Source organism: Homo sapiens, chromosome 12, assembly GCF_000001405.40.
Source record: "Homo sapiens chromosome 12, GRCh38.p14 Primary Assembly".
NCBI classification, from domain to species: Eukaryota; Metazoa; Chordata; class Mammalia; order Primates; family Hominidae; genus Homo; species Homo sapiens.
Window position 1 is genome coordinate 80,133,823 of NC_000012.12, and position 17,203 is coordinate 80,151,025.

The following is a 17,203-nucleotide window of genomic DNA, read 5'->3' on the forward strand; positions in this document are numbered from 1 at the left end:
TGCACACCTGTAGTCCAGCTACTCGGGAGGCTAAGATGGGAGGTAGAGGGTGCAGTGAGCTGAGACTGTGCCACTGCACTCTGGCCTGGGCAACATAGTGAGACTCTGTCTCAAAAACAAAAACAAAAACAAAAACAAAAAACCCAAACAAACAAAATTAAAAGCTAAAATAAAAAAAAAAGTAGAGTCACTGAATTTCAGCATTGTTTGTTAAATAGCATTATTCCAGCAATGACTGAATGATACAATCAGGTTTTCATTTCCTTTCCATTCTTAATGTTACCATCCTATTATTCATTTAGACTATTGCTAGACAGCTGAGAAGTCTTTCAACCTTTAGATTATTTTCCTCTCTCCCCATTTTATGCACCACACCAGATTCATCTTCCTGTTCTAAAACATTTAATGATTTTGTATTATTTTCCAAATGAAGTCTGGATAAGAATTCTATTTCCATTTAGCAAAATTCTATGCATCCTTTGATGTCTATCTTAAAGGGCACTTCTTTAGGGACCTGCTATCATTCTCCCAACTGATGAGGCTTTCCTTTTCTTATGGACTTCTATAACACCCACAAATTTCATGACACTTGTCAGATTCAGCCCTGAATTATGGTTTTTAAGTAGGCTATTTTATTCTAAACTTTGGAATATGATTACCTCTCTGAAGGAATGACATGTGATTTTGGTATCCTCCACTCACAGTTTTATGTTTTTGCACAAAATATGTCTTCTAATAAATATTGTTTAATTGAATTGGTAGTCCACTACTCATGAAACTCTCATGCCACATAAGACTCCTATTCCCTGGGTCTTCATATCATTATTGGCAGCAGTGAAGTGAGGACCTGCATTCTGCTTCTTGGCAACAATCCTCCCCCTTTCCCACCAAAGCTTACAGCATCTTCACTGCTATCTGCCTTAAGATCAAATTATTCTCATTATGCTCTTTGTCTATGTTTATGTCAGTAATCACAAGAAGCCCAGGACCCATAGGCAATTCTCACTGCTGTTTTCCATCCCCTCATATCTCTGCATATCAGATTTTTCTGGTGCATCCCCAACAGTTTTCCAAGTCCTGAAACCTTATTCATGTGTCTCTGGAATTTACAGGTAGTCTTCAGCAATATCTTGGGCGTCTTCTAATCTCTGAATGTTCAGTTGACCTTTCTCTAGCTAAAACATGGCTCTCCCATGAAGACATCACTTCTACATCATCTCTGATTCTGTTTTATTTTTTTCTCACATTCCTGTTATCACTTGGACCACAGATGGTGTAGTTACCTCTCATAGTCTTCCTTGCTTCTTTCAACACAGTTTTCCTCCCCTCTGTCCCTGCTTTCATCTCATATCACTAGGTTATACTACTTATTACCCTTTCTTGTAGTCCATTACAAATCTCTGGGTCATTTTTTATTTCTTGAGCCCCTCCCCTCCCCTCCCCTCCCCTCCCCTCCCCTTCCCTTCCCTTGATGGAGTCTTGCTCTATCACCCAGGCTACAGTGCAGTGGCATGATCTCAGCTCATTGTAACCTCTGCTTCCCAGGTTCAAGCAGTTATCCTGCCTCAGCCTCCTGAGTAGCTGGGATTACAGGTGCCTACCACCATGCCTGGCTAATTTTTGTATTTTTAGTAGAAACAGAGTTTCACCACGTTTGTCAGGCTGGTCTCGAACTCCTGCCCTCAGGTGATCTGCCTGCCTTGGCCTCCCAAAGCACTGGGATTATAGGCATGAGCCATCATGCCTGGCCTATCGAATACTTTCATTTCTGAATGACAGTCATACTCTTTAGCACTAATAAGAAGTCTTGGTGATTTTAATATTTTCTATTTCAATATCTGTAATGGTTAATTTTATTTCTCAACTTGACTAGGCCATGGGATATCTAGATAACTGGTCAAACATTGTGAGTGTTTTTGTGAGGGTATTCTTGGATGAGATTGATATTTAAACTGGTAAACTTAAGTAAAGCAGATTGCCTTCCATAAGGTGGGTGGGTCTCATCCAATCAGTTGAAGGTCTGAGTAGAACAGAAAGGCCGACTCTCACCTGAGTGAGAGAGAATTCTCCTGCCTGATGGCCTTTGAACTGGGACATTAGTTCTTCCTGATTCTATAGCAGACTGCTGGTCTTTGGACTCAAACTGGGATATTGGCTGTGCAGATTTTGAGCTCGCCAACCTTCATAATCATGTGAACCGATTCCTTATAATAAACCTCTTCATGTCTGTCTATAGCTGTCTATCTTTTTCCTATTGGTTTTGTTTCTCTGGAAAACCTTGATGAATACAATATCCTTCTCATTCTCACAGTTTCTGGACTTGCTTTTTTTGTGGAAATGTCTGTACTCACTATCTTCAATTTCTCTCCCTTCTTTCTCTCTTGGTCCCACTAGAATCAGGCTTTCACTCTCACCATTTCCTCAAAACCACTCTTCTCAAGTTCTCTAGTGATCTACCCAGTGGTAAATTCAATGTTTCAATTCTTAGTCCTCATTTTACTGATTGAAACTGTATTGAGAGTCCAACCACCTTTGCTCCGCTATTCTGGTCACAGCCAGCATCACCTTTCATGTCAATAGTAAAATAGCCTCTTGCCAGGTCTCCCTGCCATCCCCTGGTCCTCATAGAATTTACTGTCCATGTAGTAGTAGGATACCTTTTTTGACTTCGTGAAGTACACCTTATGATATATTTTCACCTCTTGTACTACTCTGTTTCTAGTTCTCTCTGTTCTTACCACCCTAGCTTCTTTGCTGGTTTTCAAACCTTCCAGGAAAGTCTCAGGCTTTTGGACTTGTTCTTCCTTCTACCTGGACCATAATTTCTCTAGGCAGCTGTGAACAACGGTATAGGTCTTTTTCAAATGTCTCCTACCAGGGAGGGCTTTCCTGACCACCTTGTCTAAAATTGCTATCTTCATCCTATTCCAACCCTTCCAGCTATCTCTTCATTCTCTGTTTTTTTCTCTATTTTTTTTAAAATAGTATTTGTCAGCATCTGATATATTATGTACTTTGTTTATTTATATTTATTTCTTATTTTTCAGTGTCTCTTCCCATTCTATTAGAATGTAAACTCCACATGGGTAGAAGTTTTTATCTATTTTGTTTGCTATGGTATTCCCCATAATTAGAATATTACTTAGCACATGATAGTGTTAAATAAGTGTTTGTTGGCTGGATTAATGCTGTCAGTCACAGAAAAAAAAGTGCATTGTTTTCTGATCGGTTTCAGAAACGAGATTTTACTAATGTAGAAGGACTATTTTCCTCTCCAACAACAAGACAGAGCTGTTTAAAATATAATCAACAGGAAATATTTAATCTCTCAAATTTTATTCTATTAAGTCAGTTGTAGCTATCCAAAAGCTCTATGTGGTATTTATACAAAAATGCCAGTGGTTACTATAATTTCATGTTATATAATAGTATCTCGGTAGCAAAGAAAAAAACCATGTCACTGAATTGCTATTTTAGTGAATATTCAGTTGTCATCTAGTTGTCTAAACTTCTGGCACAATCAATTGTGAACACTTATTTTCTGTTTACAATAAAAGACATTGGTATGGTGTTTCAAAAGGATCACTTTAACCTGCCTAGACAGTACTTTGATGAACTTGCTGAGAAATGGAATTGACCAAAACCTCTTGCCAAATTAGATGTTTGACCCAAGACAAATCAGGACACTAATTTGGATGTTTTATCATTTTTCTGCTCAGTGCCCAGACCTTAACATGCTTTCAAAACAATAATTAATGCCTACCAGATTCTAAGAATTTATTTTTAATCCTAATTTTACAGATGAGGAAGCAAATGGGAAGAAGTTAAATGGCTTATTTAAAGCCCCATCACAAATTAACAGCAAGCTGGAACTCTATGTAAGGCACTCTTGCCTCATGTTTCTAGGTTTATTAGTGTCATGTTCTGATGCCAGGGTAATTACTGGAAACCAGTCTTGGGGAACATAATTGATCTTTTAGGATGCAGCTGTGATGACTGGAGACTTCTCTATTAAAAATCAGGGACGCAAATGAGACCTGGTTCACGTTGATAAAAATGGAGCTCTAACCCGTGTTTCTGTTCTTTGGGAAGAAGTATCACTTTGGAGTCTCCTAGCCTTTTAGATAGAGGAGCTAAAAAAATAGACTTAACAGAAAAATTAAGATTACTGTATGTTCTGATGTTAGTACAAATAAGTATTATGGTTTATAAATAAATCTGGGGTTAGACTTTCCTTCTCAGAGATGGTATAATTAAGTTAGATGTCTTTTTTTAGACAATCACACATGCAATTATACAGATGGGAAGTAGCTTTTGAATCAGAATGAACGAGTTCCCAACAGAGTATAGGGGATTCTTACTAAATCTTTCCTTAGGGCAAAGGCTCCTTTCTTTCTGTTAGAAAGAAAGGCTTAGAAGTATAATTATACTTGGTAAAAAGTTCCAATTGGTTGATACGATAATTTTCTTATTCTTTCATATTCTTAGTTTCCTCATCTATAAAATAGTGATCATAATATCTCTAATAAAGCTGTTGTAAGAATTAAATGGAATAATCTAAGCTGATTTTAGCACAGTTCTTGGCAAATGGTAAGTACAACGTAACTATCAGTGTTATCACTCTTCTTCCTCTGTCATATTATTATCATTAGTAAATGATGATGAGAACATGTGTTCTCCAGGTTAATAGGAATGGGGAGAGTGAGGGATTTTTTTCATCCCCTATATTTCAAAGACTAGTTATGAGAGCTTTTACTGCCAGTTGCAAGATAAGAACATCAATTACTTTAGTGGTCAAATGATTCCAACACTGAAAGCCAATAGCTACATTAGCACTTTGAAGCAAAAAAGGCCAATGTCAAGAAAATATAAAGTCTAATTTTTTAATTAAAAAATGACAAGAGTATAATAACAGACTGTAGCTGAATAGTGAATCAATGTGTTCACAGAGAATAGAAGTTAAAGTCAGAGGGGTAAAATTAATATTGATTACTGATACATCTTTAACACTAAAATGTTTTTTGAGTGAATGAATAAATGAATTGGTGGATGGATGGTTGGTTTCTATCCTAAGCAAAAGTCTCTGAACATGTCCAGTGTGGTAAACATTTAGACTATCTTTCTCACCGTCTCTTCCAACTACCTTTTACTGTGTCCTTTTGTACTGCAGAGATTGGGAAGCTAAAACTCACGTATCCCACACTCCCTTATAGCGAGGGTCCTATATGTGGCCAATCAGATGAATTCATATAGGACTCGAATTATGCAGTTAAGAGAGAAAGAATAAGAAATATCCGTTTTGGTGGTGCAGATTGCTGGTGAGGAGGATGGCATAAAGGCTGACCTTGGAGATGGCAGCTCCTTGATCATGGCGGGTGAAGCAGCTGCTTTGGAAGTGCATTTCTGCGGTAGGATCTTGGGAGTTATTCCTGGACCCTCTGTGCAAAGTTTACTAAGTTAGCTGTCCTAATTACTCTGTAAGCCTTTTTTAAATACCTGGGAACTGTAGCAATCCATTTTCATTTAAATAAGTCAATATGAATTTTATCCTTTATAACTGAGCCTTAACTTACACATTGGTTTCTCCCAGTTACAACGTTCAGTGTTGAAATTCCATGGCACAACTTCATTTTTTGCATCTTTTCTGTATCTTGTGTTGGCCACATGCCACTTCCCTCCTTAAATATTTCCTGATTTCCCTAGCTAATGTGCACTCTCTTTTCTTTGATCCACTAAGTTTTTGTTGTTTGTTTGTTTGATGGTTTTTGTCATATTCTGCTTTGATTTCAAGTTACTCTTACTTTATTCAAATTCAAGCTCTTTGAGGGATTATAAAATTAAAATATATTTAAAGGCCTTTTTGAATTCCCACTGTGCTTATCATAGTGCCTTAAAGACAGTAGGTGCTTAATGAATATTAGAGGAATTTGAATACAACAAAATCACTTTAGGAAGGCTGCCTTTAGAAACATTATGCCTAGGAGTAGTGTGCTGTAGTTTAAACTATCATATACGTGTTGATAACTGCTCAATCTCTTCCCACCATTTCCAAAATATTTCCATCTGAATGTTCTACTAACATCCTACACTGACTATTCCCTAAACTGATTTTCATGACCTATACCCTCAGATTTTCCTTTCCAGTTTCCTATGAATGCATGTTAAAGACATCATCATTCTCTTACCATGCTATTTAAGCCCTGGGCAAGAATCCCAACTACTGTATTCTTCTCTTGTTACATTCAACAAATAATCAAGTCACATTCACTCCAGTTCCACCTGCCTTGCCTCTCCCCTTTACTTTGTTCTCTCTATTGATGACATTTCGAGTCTACCTCATTTCTCATGTGGATTCTAGCACTGATCTCCTTCATACCACAGATGTCTTCTGGGAGCGTCTCTATCACATGGTTTGAGTTGTTTTTCGTTTTACCAACAACCGCCTTTATTTCAACTTTAGGGTCAATGCAACTGCATGTGATGTTCAGAGGTAAATTATTGGCTTCTTTGGGTCATTTGGGACTGTGCCTGGAGTTTACTTTTGAAACAGATTGCTTTTGATGTCTGCTTTGTTAACTATTTGTGTTCAGCTTTGTCAGGTGACATAAGATTTCAGACAGTCTTACCATCCTTAAGTAAATAAAGGAACACATCAAATGTTATGAATTTCTTTATTACTTTCTTAAGAAGTAGAGCACAGTGTTAAAAAGTGAGGACTCTGGAATTAGAGTAACTGGGTTAATGTCCCCATGGCTCTGCCATTAACTACCTGATGATCTTGGGCAAGTTACTTCATCTCTCTGTGCTTCAGTCTCCTCATATATAAAATGTGCCTACTAAGTATACCTACCTCTTACTATTGTGGTAAGAATTGAATGTCAGCATATGTAAAGTCCTTAGATTGGCACCTAGCTCATAGAAAATATGTATTGTCAGTTAGTATCATTACTATTTATGTAATGTGAACTTGATCATTTTAAGTATTAAATGTGAATTTCTGACTAAGAGAGAAGAACTGGTATCTTTGTAAATATATACGGACATCAGTAATTTTTAGTAATTAAGTGATTTTTTCCCACATTTATGAAATAAGTGTACATAGAATAACTTCTTTATGTTCAACTAACTTACCAAATATACCTTCAGAAAAGTAGTGAACAAAGATTAAATTAAATCCTGATATTGTTAAAAATAGTTTGCTCCACAAGACTTATAAAGAAACAATGATATTTCTGTAGCTCTTGCAGGTGTTTATTGAAGCATGGTGATCTTTTTATTCTTGTACCTTTATTTTTAAAGGAAAGGGCTGGTAATTATACTCTGTCACATTCCCCGAGTTCTTAAGTTATGTAAAGTAGGGTGGTGGTTTCAAGGGAAAAAGGCAAGATTTTTTTTATTAACTCTAGAGATAAAAGTAAGCCGTGGCATTATCTTTCTGTTTTTCTTATCTTTTAGCCTCATTTGTGTAACTTTAATATCTGCAGTGTCTTATCTTTATTTTTCTCTCCTAATTGAAAGGTGACTATTAATAAGAATCATTTTTCAACCATCAAGATATATCACCAGAAGGTGACAATTTTTAGGTATGGAATATAGAAAAGCAAGCACTTTTATTTCTTGGTGCCTGGTGTCCAGGAGGAGGATGCTGCCTCCAGAGAACTTGAGTATTCTGAGCACTTATCGTTCAGCACCATACTGCTCAATCCCAGAAGAGCTCAATACACATGCAATGAGTAAATAAAAAGGTGTTCTCTAACAACAGGCAGACTTGTTTCATCAGCCCTTGCTGTACCTTGATTAAAATCTCCCTAAAGGGTGTCAGCCTCATTTTGCTTTCCTTCCCAGTCTTGTTCCTGGGATCTCTGAGACTCAAATAAAGAATCAGCCACCATTCAAGACTTTTTGTATTAGTTCAACAGAAAGTCAAAAAGTCAAGAATTTCAAGTTGCTTATATTTTACAGGGAGTCTGCAAAGTTCATGATTGATAAGTATGATTTTCTATATAGGTATGTAGTAGAAAGAGTATTTTTATATTTTAAAATTAGCAGCAGAATTCGTTTTTGGGAGAGGAAAGACTATTTAAGAGAGTACCCTCATGGCCACTCTGAGAATGAAATGAGAAAGAAACTGGCCCCTACACTCCATCCTCAACCTTCCTTTCTTGTCCTCCTGGGCTTGGCCAAGATAGGATAGTCTGAGATCAGGAGGGAGCTGTATTGCTTGCTTAGTGTACCAAATGGGAGAACTTTTGAGTTTCTGAAAGAAGACAAAGAGAGAGGAGGAGAGAGACTCCTGTGAAGGAGAAGGTTAGAGAAAAACTTAGATCAGCATTGTCCAATAAAAACACAATGTGAGTCATATATAATTTTAAGTTTTCTAGCTAAAACAAAATATAAACAGGTAAAATTACTTTTAGTAATATATCATAGATTGACAGCACATCCCAATTTGGATTAGCTAAATTTCAAGCACTCAGTGGCCACGTGTCTAGCGGTTATTGTACTGGGTGGCACAGATGTATAGAAAGGAGCCCAGGATCATGGCCAGAATCTGGAGTCCTTTGAAGAAACATAGTGAAAGTTCTGAGTGGTGGGAAAGGAGGTGAATTCTTCAATTAAAACTTTTCATTCATTTTCTGTGTTGTGCCAAGATATAAACTCCTCCCCATTTTCTCTATATCTTCAGTTAAATTCTGTTGTTTAATGTAAGATATCTTCAGTGGAACTACTTTGCATCTGTATTGGCAGGAACCACTATTCCTTCACCACTATCCCAAGGCCAGGAGATAATGTCTGTCCCTCACTGCTTGCAGCCTAGGAAAGCCAACTCTCATTCATTTGACGGCCCCTTAACACTGCCTGTGTCTGTTCCCTTCTGTCTATCCCCACTGCTTTGGTTGCATTAGATAGTCTTAGGAAAAGGGATTGTGTTCTGTGGTTGGGCCAAACGAGGCAGAGAAAATGAAACAGGCACCAGAAGCTAGAGGTGAATGAGGAGGGGAATCCAGCAGAAAGGATGAGTCAGGGAAGATGTAGAGATACAGCAGGGGTGGCAGAAGAGGGGCTTTCCCATGCTACATTGGATGGGAACTGGACTCATTTTGATTTAAATATAAAATTAAATCTGGAGGACTTGGGACCACTCAGGCAACTGGCATTTTTATGGGAAGGCATATGTGCAAGAGGTGGGAAAGATGGGCTGGGATGAAGTAACATAGCAGTATTCCACTCTGGGAAAATAGTTGGGTGGCAAAGGCTGACCTGACCTAATTAGGTACAAACCTATCATGAATTGACATGAGGCTTTTTATAGTCTTCATTGTCATATGTAATGGAAATATACATTTTGCAGCAGAAGTATTAATGTATTTGATAATAGGGTGCTACCCCATACCCCACTATAGAGTGTTACATAATAACATAAAGTAGATGCACCCTGTTAACTTTCTGAAGTCCCTAAAGTTTAGAATTCCAAATTGACTTCTTGGGTTTCCAATAAGGGACTATGGATCTGAATTTGGTTAGGGGATGGGGATGAATAGGAAAAGCTTTTTTTGAACCCCTCAAATCACAGCCTAAATGTCACTGCTTGACCTGCCTGTGTTCAAAGTGATCCCTGGTGATAGACACACCTTCTTTCCCATTAATTGGAAAGTGTTCTTCCTCTCTTTCCCTTACCAGCCTTAATTTCTCCCATTTTTCATGGTTTGTTTTCTACCTCCTGGAACCCTGTGGAGTCGTGTATAGTTCCCTGCACAAAATTCTTGCATTGCTGAGTGCTGGGGCTGAGAAACTTGAGCCCCAGGCTGTGGAGTGCTCAAGTCAGAGGTTCATTTCAGAGGTGTTTGTTTTGGAGCAGAAGAAGACGTTTGACGCAGGTCTGTCACATTTGATAGAGTGTGTTAGTTTCTCATGATGGCATAAAGGAGGCCATCAGGAGTAACTAACAGAACATGGACAGTAAATAATGTGCTCAATGTTGCGTCAGTCACTATTTTATTTATAGAATAGTGATTTTGATCTTATTGGAATGATAAACTGCTCATGTAGTATGCTATTCAGGTGTACTGTTTTTATATCTAGTTCTTCCATGCTAAAAGAGTTAATGGTATTCTAAAAGGGACTAATTTACACTCAGAAAATAACTTATTTGGCCAGAGAGATATATGTATATTCTTCTATGTATTCAAAGGCATTGAAAATGCTCTGTCGTTTTGTGCTTTTCTTTTTTTTTTTTTCTTTTATTATTATACTTTAAGTTTTAGGGTACTTGTGCACATTGTGCAGGTTAGTTACATATGTAAACATGTGCCACGCTGGTGCGCTGCACCCACTAACTCGTCATCTAGCATTAGGTGTATCTCCCAATGCTATCCCTTCCCACTCCCCCCACCCCACAACAGTCCCCAGAGTGTGATGTTCCCCTTCTGTGTCCATGTGATCTCATTGTTCAATTCCCACCTATGAGTGAGAATATGCGGTGTTTGGTTTTTTGTTCTTGCGATAGTTTACTGAGAATGATGATTTCCAATTTCATCCATGTCCCTACAAAGGACATGAACTCATCATTTTTTATGGCTGCATAGTATTCCGTGGTGTATATGTGCCACATTTTCTTAATCCGGTCTATCATTGTTGGACATTTGGGTTGGTTCCAAGTCTTTGCTATTGTGAATAGTGCCGCAATAAACATACGTGTGCATGTGTCTTTATAGCAGCATGACTTATAGTCCTTTGGGTATATATCCAGTAATGGGATGGCTGGGTCAAATGGTATTTCTAGTTCTAGATCCCTGAGGAATCACCACAATGACTTCCACAATGGTTGAACTAGTTTACAGTCCCACCAACAGTGTAAAAGTGTTCCTATTTCTCCACATCCTCTCCAGCACCTGTTGTTTCCTGACTTTATAATGATTGCCATTCTAACTAGTGTGAGATGGTATCTCATTGTGGTTTTGATTTGCATTTCTCTGATGGCCAGTGATGATGAGCATTTTTTCATATGTTTTTTGGCTGCATAAATGTCTTCTTTTGAGAAGTGTCTGTTCATGTCCTTCACCCACTTTTTGATGGGGTTGTTTGTTTTTTTCTTGTAAATTTGTTTGAGTTCATTGTAGATTCTGGATATTAGCCCTTTGTCAGATGAGTAGGTTGCAAAAATTTTCTCCCATGTTGTAGGTTGCCTGTTCACTCTGATGGTAGTTTCTTTTGCTGTACAGAAGCTCTTTAGTTTAATTAGATCCCATTTGTCAATTTTGTCTTTTGTTGCCATTGCTTTTGGTGTTTTAGACATGAAGTCCTTGCCCATGCCTATGTCCTGAATGGTATTGCCTAGGTTTTCTTCTAGGGTTTTTATGGTTTTAGGTCTAACGTTTAAGTCTTTAATCCATCTTGAATTGACTTTTGTGTAAGGTGTAAGGAAGGGATCCAGTATCAGCTTTCTACATATGGCTAGCCAGTTTTCCCAGCACCATTTATTAAATAGGGAATCCTTTCCCCGTTGCTTGTTTTTTCTCAGGTTTGTCAAAGATCAGATAGTTGTAGATATGCGGCGTTATTTCTGAGGGCTCTGTTCTGTTCCATTGATCTATATCTCTGTTTTGGTACCAGTACCATGCTGTTTTGGTTACTGTAGCCTTCTAGTATAGTTTGAAGTCAGGTAGTGTGATGCCTCCAGCTTTGTTCTTTTGGCTTAGGATTGACTTGGCGATGCGGGCTCTTTTTTGGTGCCATATGAACTTTAAAGTAGTTTTTTCCAATTCCGTGAAGAAAGGCATTGGTAGCTTGATGGGGATGGCATTGAATCTATAAATTACCTTGGGCAGTATGGCCATTTTCACGATATTGATTCTTCCTACCCATGAGCATGGAATGTTCTTCCATTTGTTTGTATCCTCTTTTATTTCATTGAGCAGTGGTTTGTAGTTCTCCTTGAAGAAGTCCTTCACATCCTTTGTAAGTTGGATTCCTAGGTATTTTATTCTCTTTGAAGCAGTTGTGAATGGGAGTTCACTCATGATTTGGCTCTCTGTTTGTCTGTTGTTGGTGTATAAGAATGCTTGTGATTTTTGTACATTGATTTTGTATCCTGAGACTTTGCTGAAATTGCTTATCAGCTGAAGGAGATTTTGGGCTGAACAATGGGGTTTTCTAGATATACAATCATGTCATCTGTAAGCAGGGACAATTTGACTTCCTCTTTTCCTATTTGAATACCCTTTATTTCCTTCTCCTGCCTAATTGCCCTGGCCAGAACTTCCAACACCCTGTTGAATAGGAGCGGTGAGAGAGGGCATCCCTGTCTTGTGCCAGTTTTCAAAGGGAATGCTTCCAGTTTTTGCCCATTCAGTATGATATTGGCTGTGGGTTTGTCATAGATAGCTCTTATTATTTTGAGATATGTCCCATCAATATCTAATTTATTGAGAGTTTTTAGCATGAAGGGTTGTTGAATTTTGTCAAAGGCTTTTTCTGCATCTATTGAGATAATCATGTGGTTTTTGTCTTTGGCTCGGTTTATATGCTGGATTACATTTATTGATTTGCGTATATTGAACCAGCCTTGCATCCCAGGGATGAAGCCCTCTTGATCATGGTGGATAAGCTTTTTGATGTGCTGCTGGATTCGTTTTGCCAGTATTTTATTGAGGATTTTTGCATCAATATTCATCAAGGATATTGGTCTAAAATTCTCTTTTTTGGTTGTGTCTCTGCCAGGCTTTGGTATCAGAATGATGCTGGCCTCATAAAATGAGTTAGGGAGGATTCCCTCTTTTTCTATTGATTGGAATAGTTTCAGAAGGAATGGTATCAGTTCCTCCTTGTACCTCTGCTAGAATTCAGCTGTGAATCCATCTGGTCCTGGACTCTTTTTGGTTGGTAAGCTATTGATTATTGCCACAATTTCAGCTCCTGTTATTGGTCTATTCAGAGATTCAACTTCTTCCTGGTTTAGTCTTGGGAGAGTGTATGTGTCGAGGAATTTATCCATTTCTTCTAGATTTTCTAGTTTATTTGCATAGAGGTGTTTGTAGTATTCTCTGATGGTAGTTTGTATTTCTGTGGGATTGGTGGTGATATCCCTTTTATCATTTTTTATTGTATCTATTTGATTCTTCTCTCTTTTTTTCTTTATTAGTCTTGCTAGTTGTCTATTTTGTTGATCCTTTCAAAAAACCAGCTCCTGGATTCATTAATTTTTTGAAGGGTTTTTTGTGTCTCTATTTCCTTCAGTTCTGCTCTGATTTTAGTTATTTCTTGCCTTCTGCTAGCTTTTGAATGTGTTTGCTCTTGCTTTTCTAGTTGTTTTAATTGTGATGTTAGGATGTCAATTTTGGATCTTTCCTGCTTTCTCCTGTGGGCATTTAGTGCTATAAATTTCCCTCTACACACTGCTTTGAATGCGTCCCAGAGATTCTGGTATGTTGTGTCTTTGTTCTCGTTGGTTTCAAAGAACATCTTTATTTCTGCCTTCATTTCGTTATGTACCCAGTAGTCATTCAGGAGCAGGTTGTTCAGTTTCCATGTAGTTGAGCGGTTTTGAGTGAGACTCTTAATCCTGAGTTCTAGTTTGATTGCACTGTGGTCTGAGAGACAGTTTGTTATAATCTCTGTTCTTTTACATTTGCTGAGGAGAGCTTTACTTCCAAGTATGTGGTCAATTTTGGAATAGGTGTGGTGTGGTGCTGAAAAAAATGTATATTCTGGTGATTTGGGGTGGAGAGTTCTGTAGATGTCTATTAGGTCTGCTTGGTGCAGAGCTGAGTTTAATTCCTGGGTATTCTTGTTGACTTTCTGTCTCCTTGATCTGTCTAATGTTGACAGTGGGGTGTTAAAGTCTCCCATTGTTAATGTGTGGGAGTCTAAGTCTCTTTGTAGGTCACTCAGGACCTGCTTTATGAATCTGGGTGCTCCTGTATTGGGTGCATATATATTTAGGATAGTTAGCTCTTCTTGTTGAATTGATCCCTTTACCATTATATAATGGCCTTGTTTGTCTCTTTTGATCTTTATTGGTTTAAAGTCTGTTTTATCAGAGACTAGGATTGCAACCCCTGCCTTTTTTTGTTCTCCATTTGCTTGGTAGATCTTCCTCCATCCTTTTATTTTGAGCCTATGTGTGTCTCTGCACGTGAGATGGGTTTCCTGAATACAGCACACTGATGGGTCTTGACTCTTTATCCAATTTCCCAGTCTGTGTCTTAATTGGAGCATTTAGTCCATTTACATTTAAAGTTAATATTGTTATGTGTGAATTTGATCCTGTCATGATGATGTTAGCTGGTGATTTTGCTCGTTAGTTGATGCAGTTTCTTCCTAGTCTCGATGGTCTTTACATTTTGGCATGATTTTGCAGCGGCTGGTACCGGTTGTTCCTGTCCACATTTAGTGCTTCCTTCAGGAGCTCTTGTAGGGCAGGTCCGGTGGTGACAAAATCTCTCAGCATTTGCTTGTCTGTAAAGTATTTTATTTCTCCTTCACTTATGAAGCTTAGTTTGGCTGGATATGAAATTCTGGGTTGCAAATTCTTTTCTTTAAGAATGTTGAATATTGGCCCCCACTCTCTTCTGGCTTGTAGGGTTTCTGCCGAGAGATCCGCTGTTAGTCTGATGGGCTTCCCTTTGAGGGTAACCCGACCTTTCTCTCTGGCTGCCCTTAACATTTTTTCCTTCATTTCAACTTTGGTGAATCTGACAATTATGTGTCTTGGAGTTGCTCTTCTCGAGGAGTATCTTTGTGGTGTTCTCTGTATTTCCTGAATCTGAATGTTGGCCTGCCTTGCTAGATTGGGGAAATTCTCCTGCATAATATCCTGCAGAGTGTTTTTCAACTTGGTTCCATTCTCCTCGTCACTTTCAGGTACACGAATCAGATGTAGATTTGGTTTTTTCACATAGTCCCATATTTCTTGGAGGCTTTGCTCATTTGTTTTTATTCTGTTTTCTCTAAACTTCCCTTCTCACTTCATTTCATTCATTTCATCTTCTGTTGCTGATACCCTTTCTTCCAGTTGATCGCATCAGCTCCTGAGGCTTCTGCATTCTTCACGTAGTTCTCGAGCCTTGGTTTTCAGCTCCATCAGCTCCTTTAAGCACTTCTCTGTATTGATTATTCTAGTTATACATTATTCTAATTTTTTTTCAAAGTTTTCAACTTGTTTGCCTTTGGTTTGAATGTCCTCCTGTAGCTCAGAGTAATTTGATCGTCTGAAGCCTTCTTCTCTCAGCTCGTCAAAGTCGTTCTCCGTCCAGCTTTGTTCCATTGCTGGTGAGGAACTGCGTTCCTTTGGAGGAGGAGAGGCGCTCTGCTTTTTAGAGTTTCCAGTTTTTCTGTTGTGTTTTTTCCCCATCTTTGTGGTTTTATCTACTTTTGGTCTTTGGTAATGGTGATGTACAGATGGGTTTTTGGTGTGGATGTCCTTTCTGTTTGTTAGTTTTCCTTCTAACAGACAGGACCCTCAGCTGCAGGTCTGTTGGAGTACCCTGCGGTGTGAGGTGTCAGTGTGCCCCTGCTGGGGGGTGCCTCCCAGTTAGGCTGCTCGGGGGTCGGGGGCCAGGGGTCAGGGGTCAGGGACCCACTTGAGGAGGCAGTCTGCCCGTTCTCAGATCTCCAGTTGCGTACTGGGAGAACCACTGCTCTCTTCAAAGCTGTCAGACAGGGACATTTAAGTCTGCAGAGGTTACTGCTGTCTTTTTGTTTGTCTGTGCCCTGCCCCCAGAGGTGGAGCCTACAGAGGCAGGCAGGCCTCCTTGAGCTGTGGTGGGCTCCACCCAGTTCGAGCTTCCTGGCTGCTTTGTTTACCTAAGCAAGCCTGGGCAATGGCGGGCGCCCCTCCCCCAGCCTCGCTGCCGCCTTGCAGTTTGATCTCAGACTGCTGTGCTAGCAATCATCGAGACTCCATGGGCGTAGGACCCTCCAAGCCAGGTGTGGGATATAATCTTGTGGTGCACCGTTTTTTAAGCCCGTCGGAAAAGCGCAGTATTCGGGTGGGAGTGACCTGATTTTCCAGGTGCCGGCTGACTAGGAAAGGGAGCTCCCTGACCCCTTGCACTTCCCGAGTGAGGCAATGCCTCACCCTGCTTCGGCTCATGCACGGTGCGCGCACCCACTGACCTGCGCCCACTGTCTGGCACTCCCTAGTGAGATGAACCCGGTACCTCAGATGGAAATGCAGAAATCACCCATCTTCTGCGTCGCTCACGCTGGGAGCTGTAGACCGGAGCTGTTCCTATTCGGCCATCTTGGCTTCTCGCTTTTCTTTATATAGTGTCTGGTGCAAACCAAAAAAATGAATGCCAATAATTATAGAAAGGACTTTGCTCTCTCTCAAATAGAGTACTGTGTGACCAAAGGTCCTGTTCCCTGGAAATCTCTCTAGAATATTTTTTTTCTCTTTACCTCATTGAGCCAAACTTCTTTCAAGAATTATATTTGTCCTCTATGTGATATTCATTTTGAAAATGGTTTTCTTTCTATGCAGCTACAACAGAATAATGTGTTTCTTGCTGAACATAATGTAATTTCTTATTCAATAAAAATGAAAAGATAAAGCTGTTCAAAAGAAACTTCCAAACTGACCTGGAAAGGAAACTCCAGAGAGTTACCCCAGTAGTCTGGGAGATCAAAGGGGAATGTTAAGGACTCATCCATCGCATTTATCTTTTATCTAGGCAGTGAGCGATGGACCAATCATGGGATTTTTGCTGTTTCTAAGACAGTGAACAAATCTACAATTACTGGAGAAGGGAAGACCTGCAGCCTTGTTAGTGGAGCAAAGAAAACTCAAAAGTAGGTCTTAAATTCACAGACATTCATTGTGATTGTCTCAATAAGGGCCTTATAGTTATTGTTCACCTTTGGTGAGTCATGGATCATGACTGAAGGGCAAGAGCCCTTTCCCCAGGAAGATGTATCCACCCATAACTGTTTTATATAATTGATGGTAGTGTGCAGATTCTCTGAAGCTCATTTCTGTACCCTACTGTAAGTCTAGAAAAAGAAAGGCATAGAAAACAAGTAGAAATAGATGCTTTTTATTTACTTTTAAAAGCAATTTCTGAAAAATTATGCTAGTATTTATAGTTTAAATAAATTACAATGGAAAAAGGACAAAATAATATTTGATTTTGGCAATTTGTTCATGGAAGAAATTATAGATAATAGGAATCACAATAAAATTAATTTTGAAATCCTTGTGAGA

General features: G+C 39.0%; 1 protein-coding gene across 4 annotated transcripts in view, besides 1 other annotated feature; it reads left to right on the forward strand.

The window, feature by feature from the left end:
• Nucleotides 1-17,203, forward strand: part of OTOGL (otogelin like) — a 281,344-nt gene that overhangs the window by 34,286 nt on the left and 229,855 nt on the right. The window lies entirely within an intron of this gene.
• Nucleotides 15,454-16,000: an enhancer, noted in NCBI's record as "NANOG-H3K27ac-H3K4me1 hESC enhancer chr12:80543056-80543602 (GRCh37/hg19 assembly coordinates)". NCBI's record gives its function as "activates a minimal SCP1, AML or CMV promoter by ChIP-STARR-seq in primed H9 embryonic stem cells {active_cell/tissue: H9 hESC(primed)}" and the evidence as "EXISTENCE:reporter gene assay evidence [ECO:0000049][PMID:30033119]".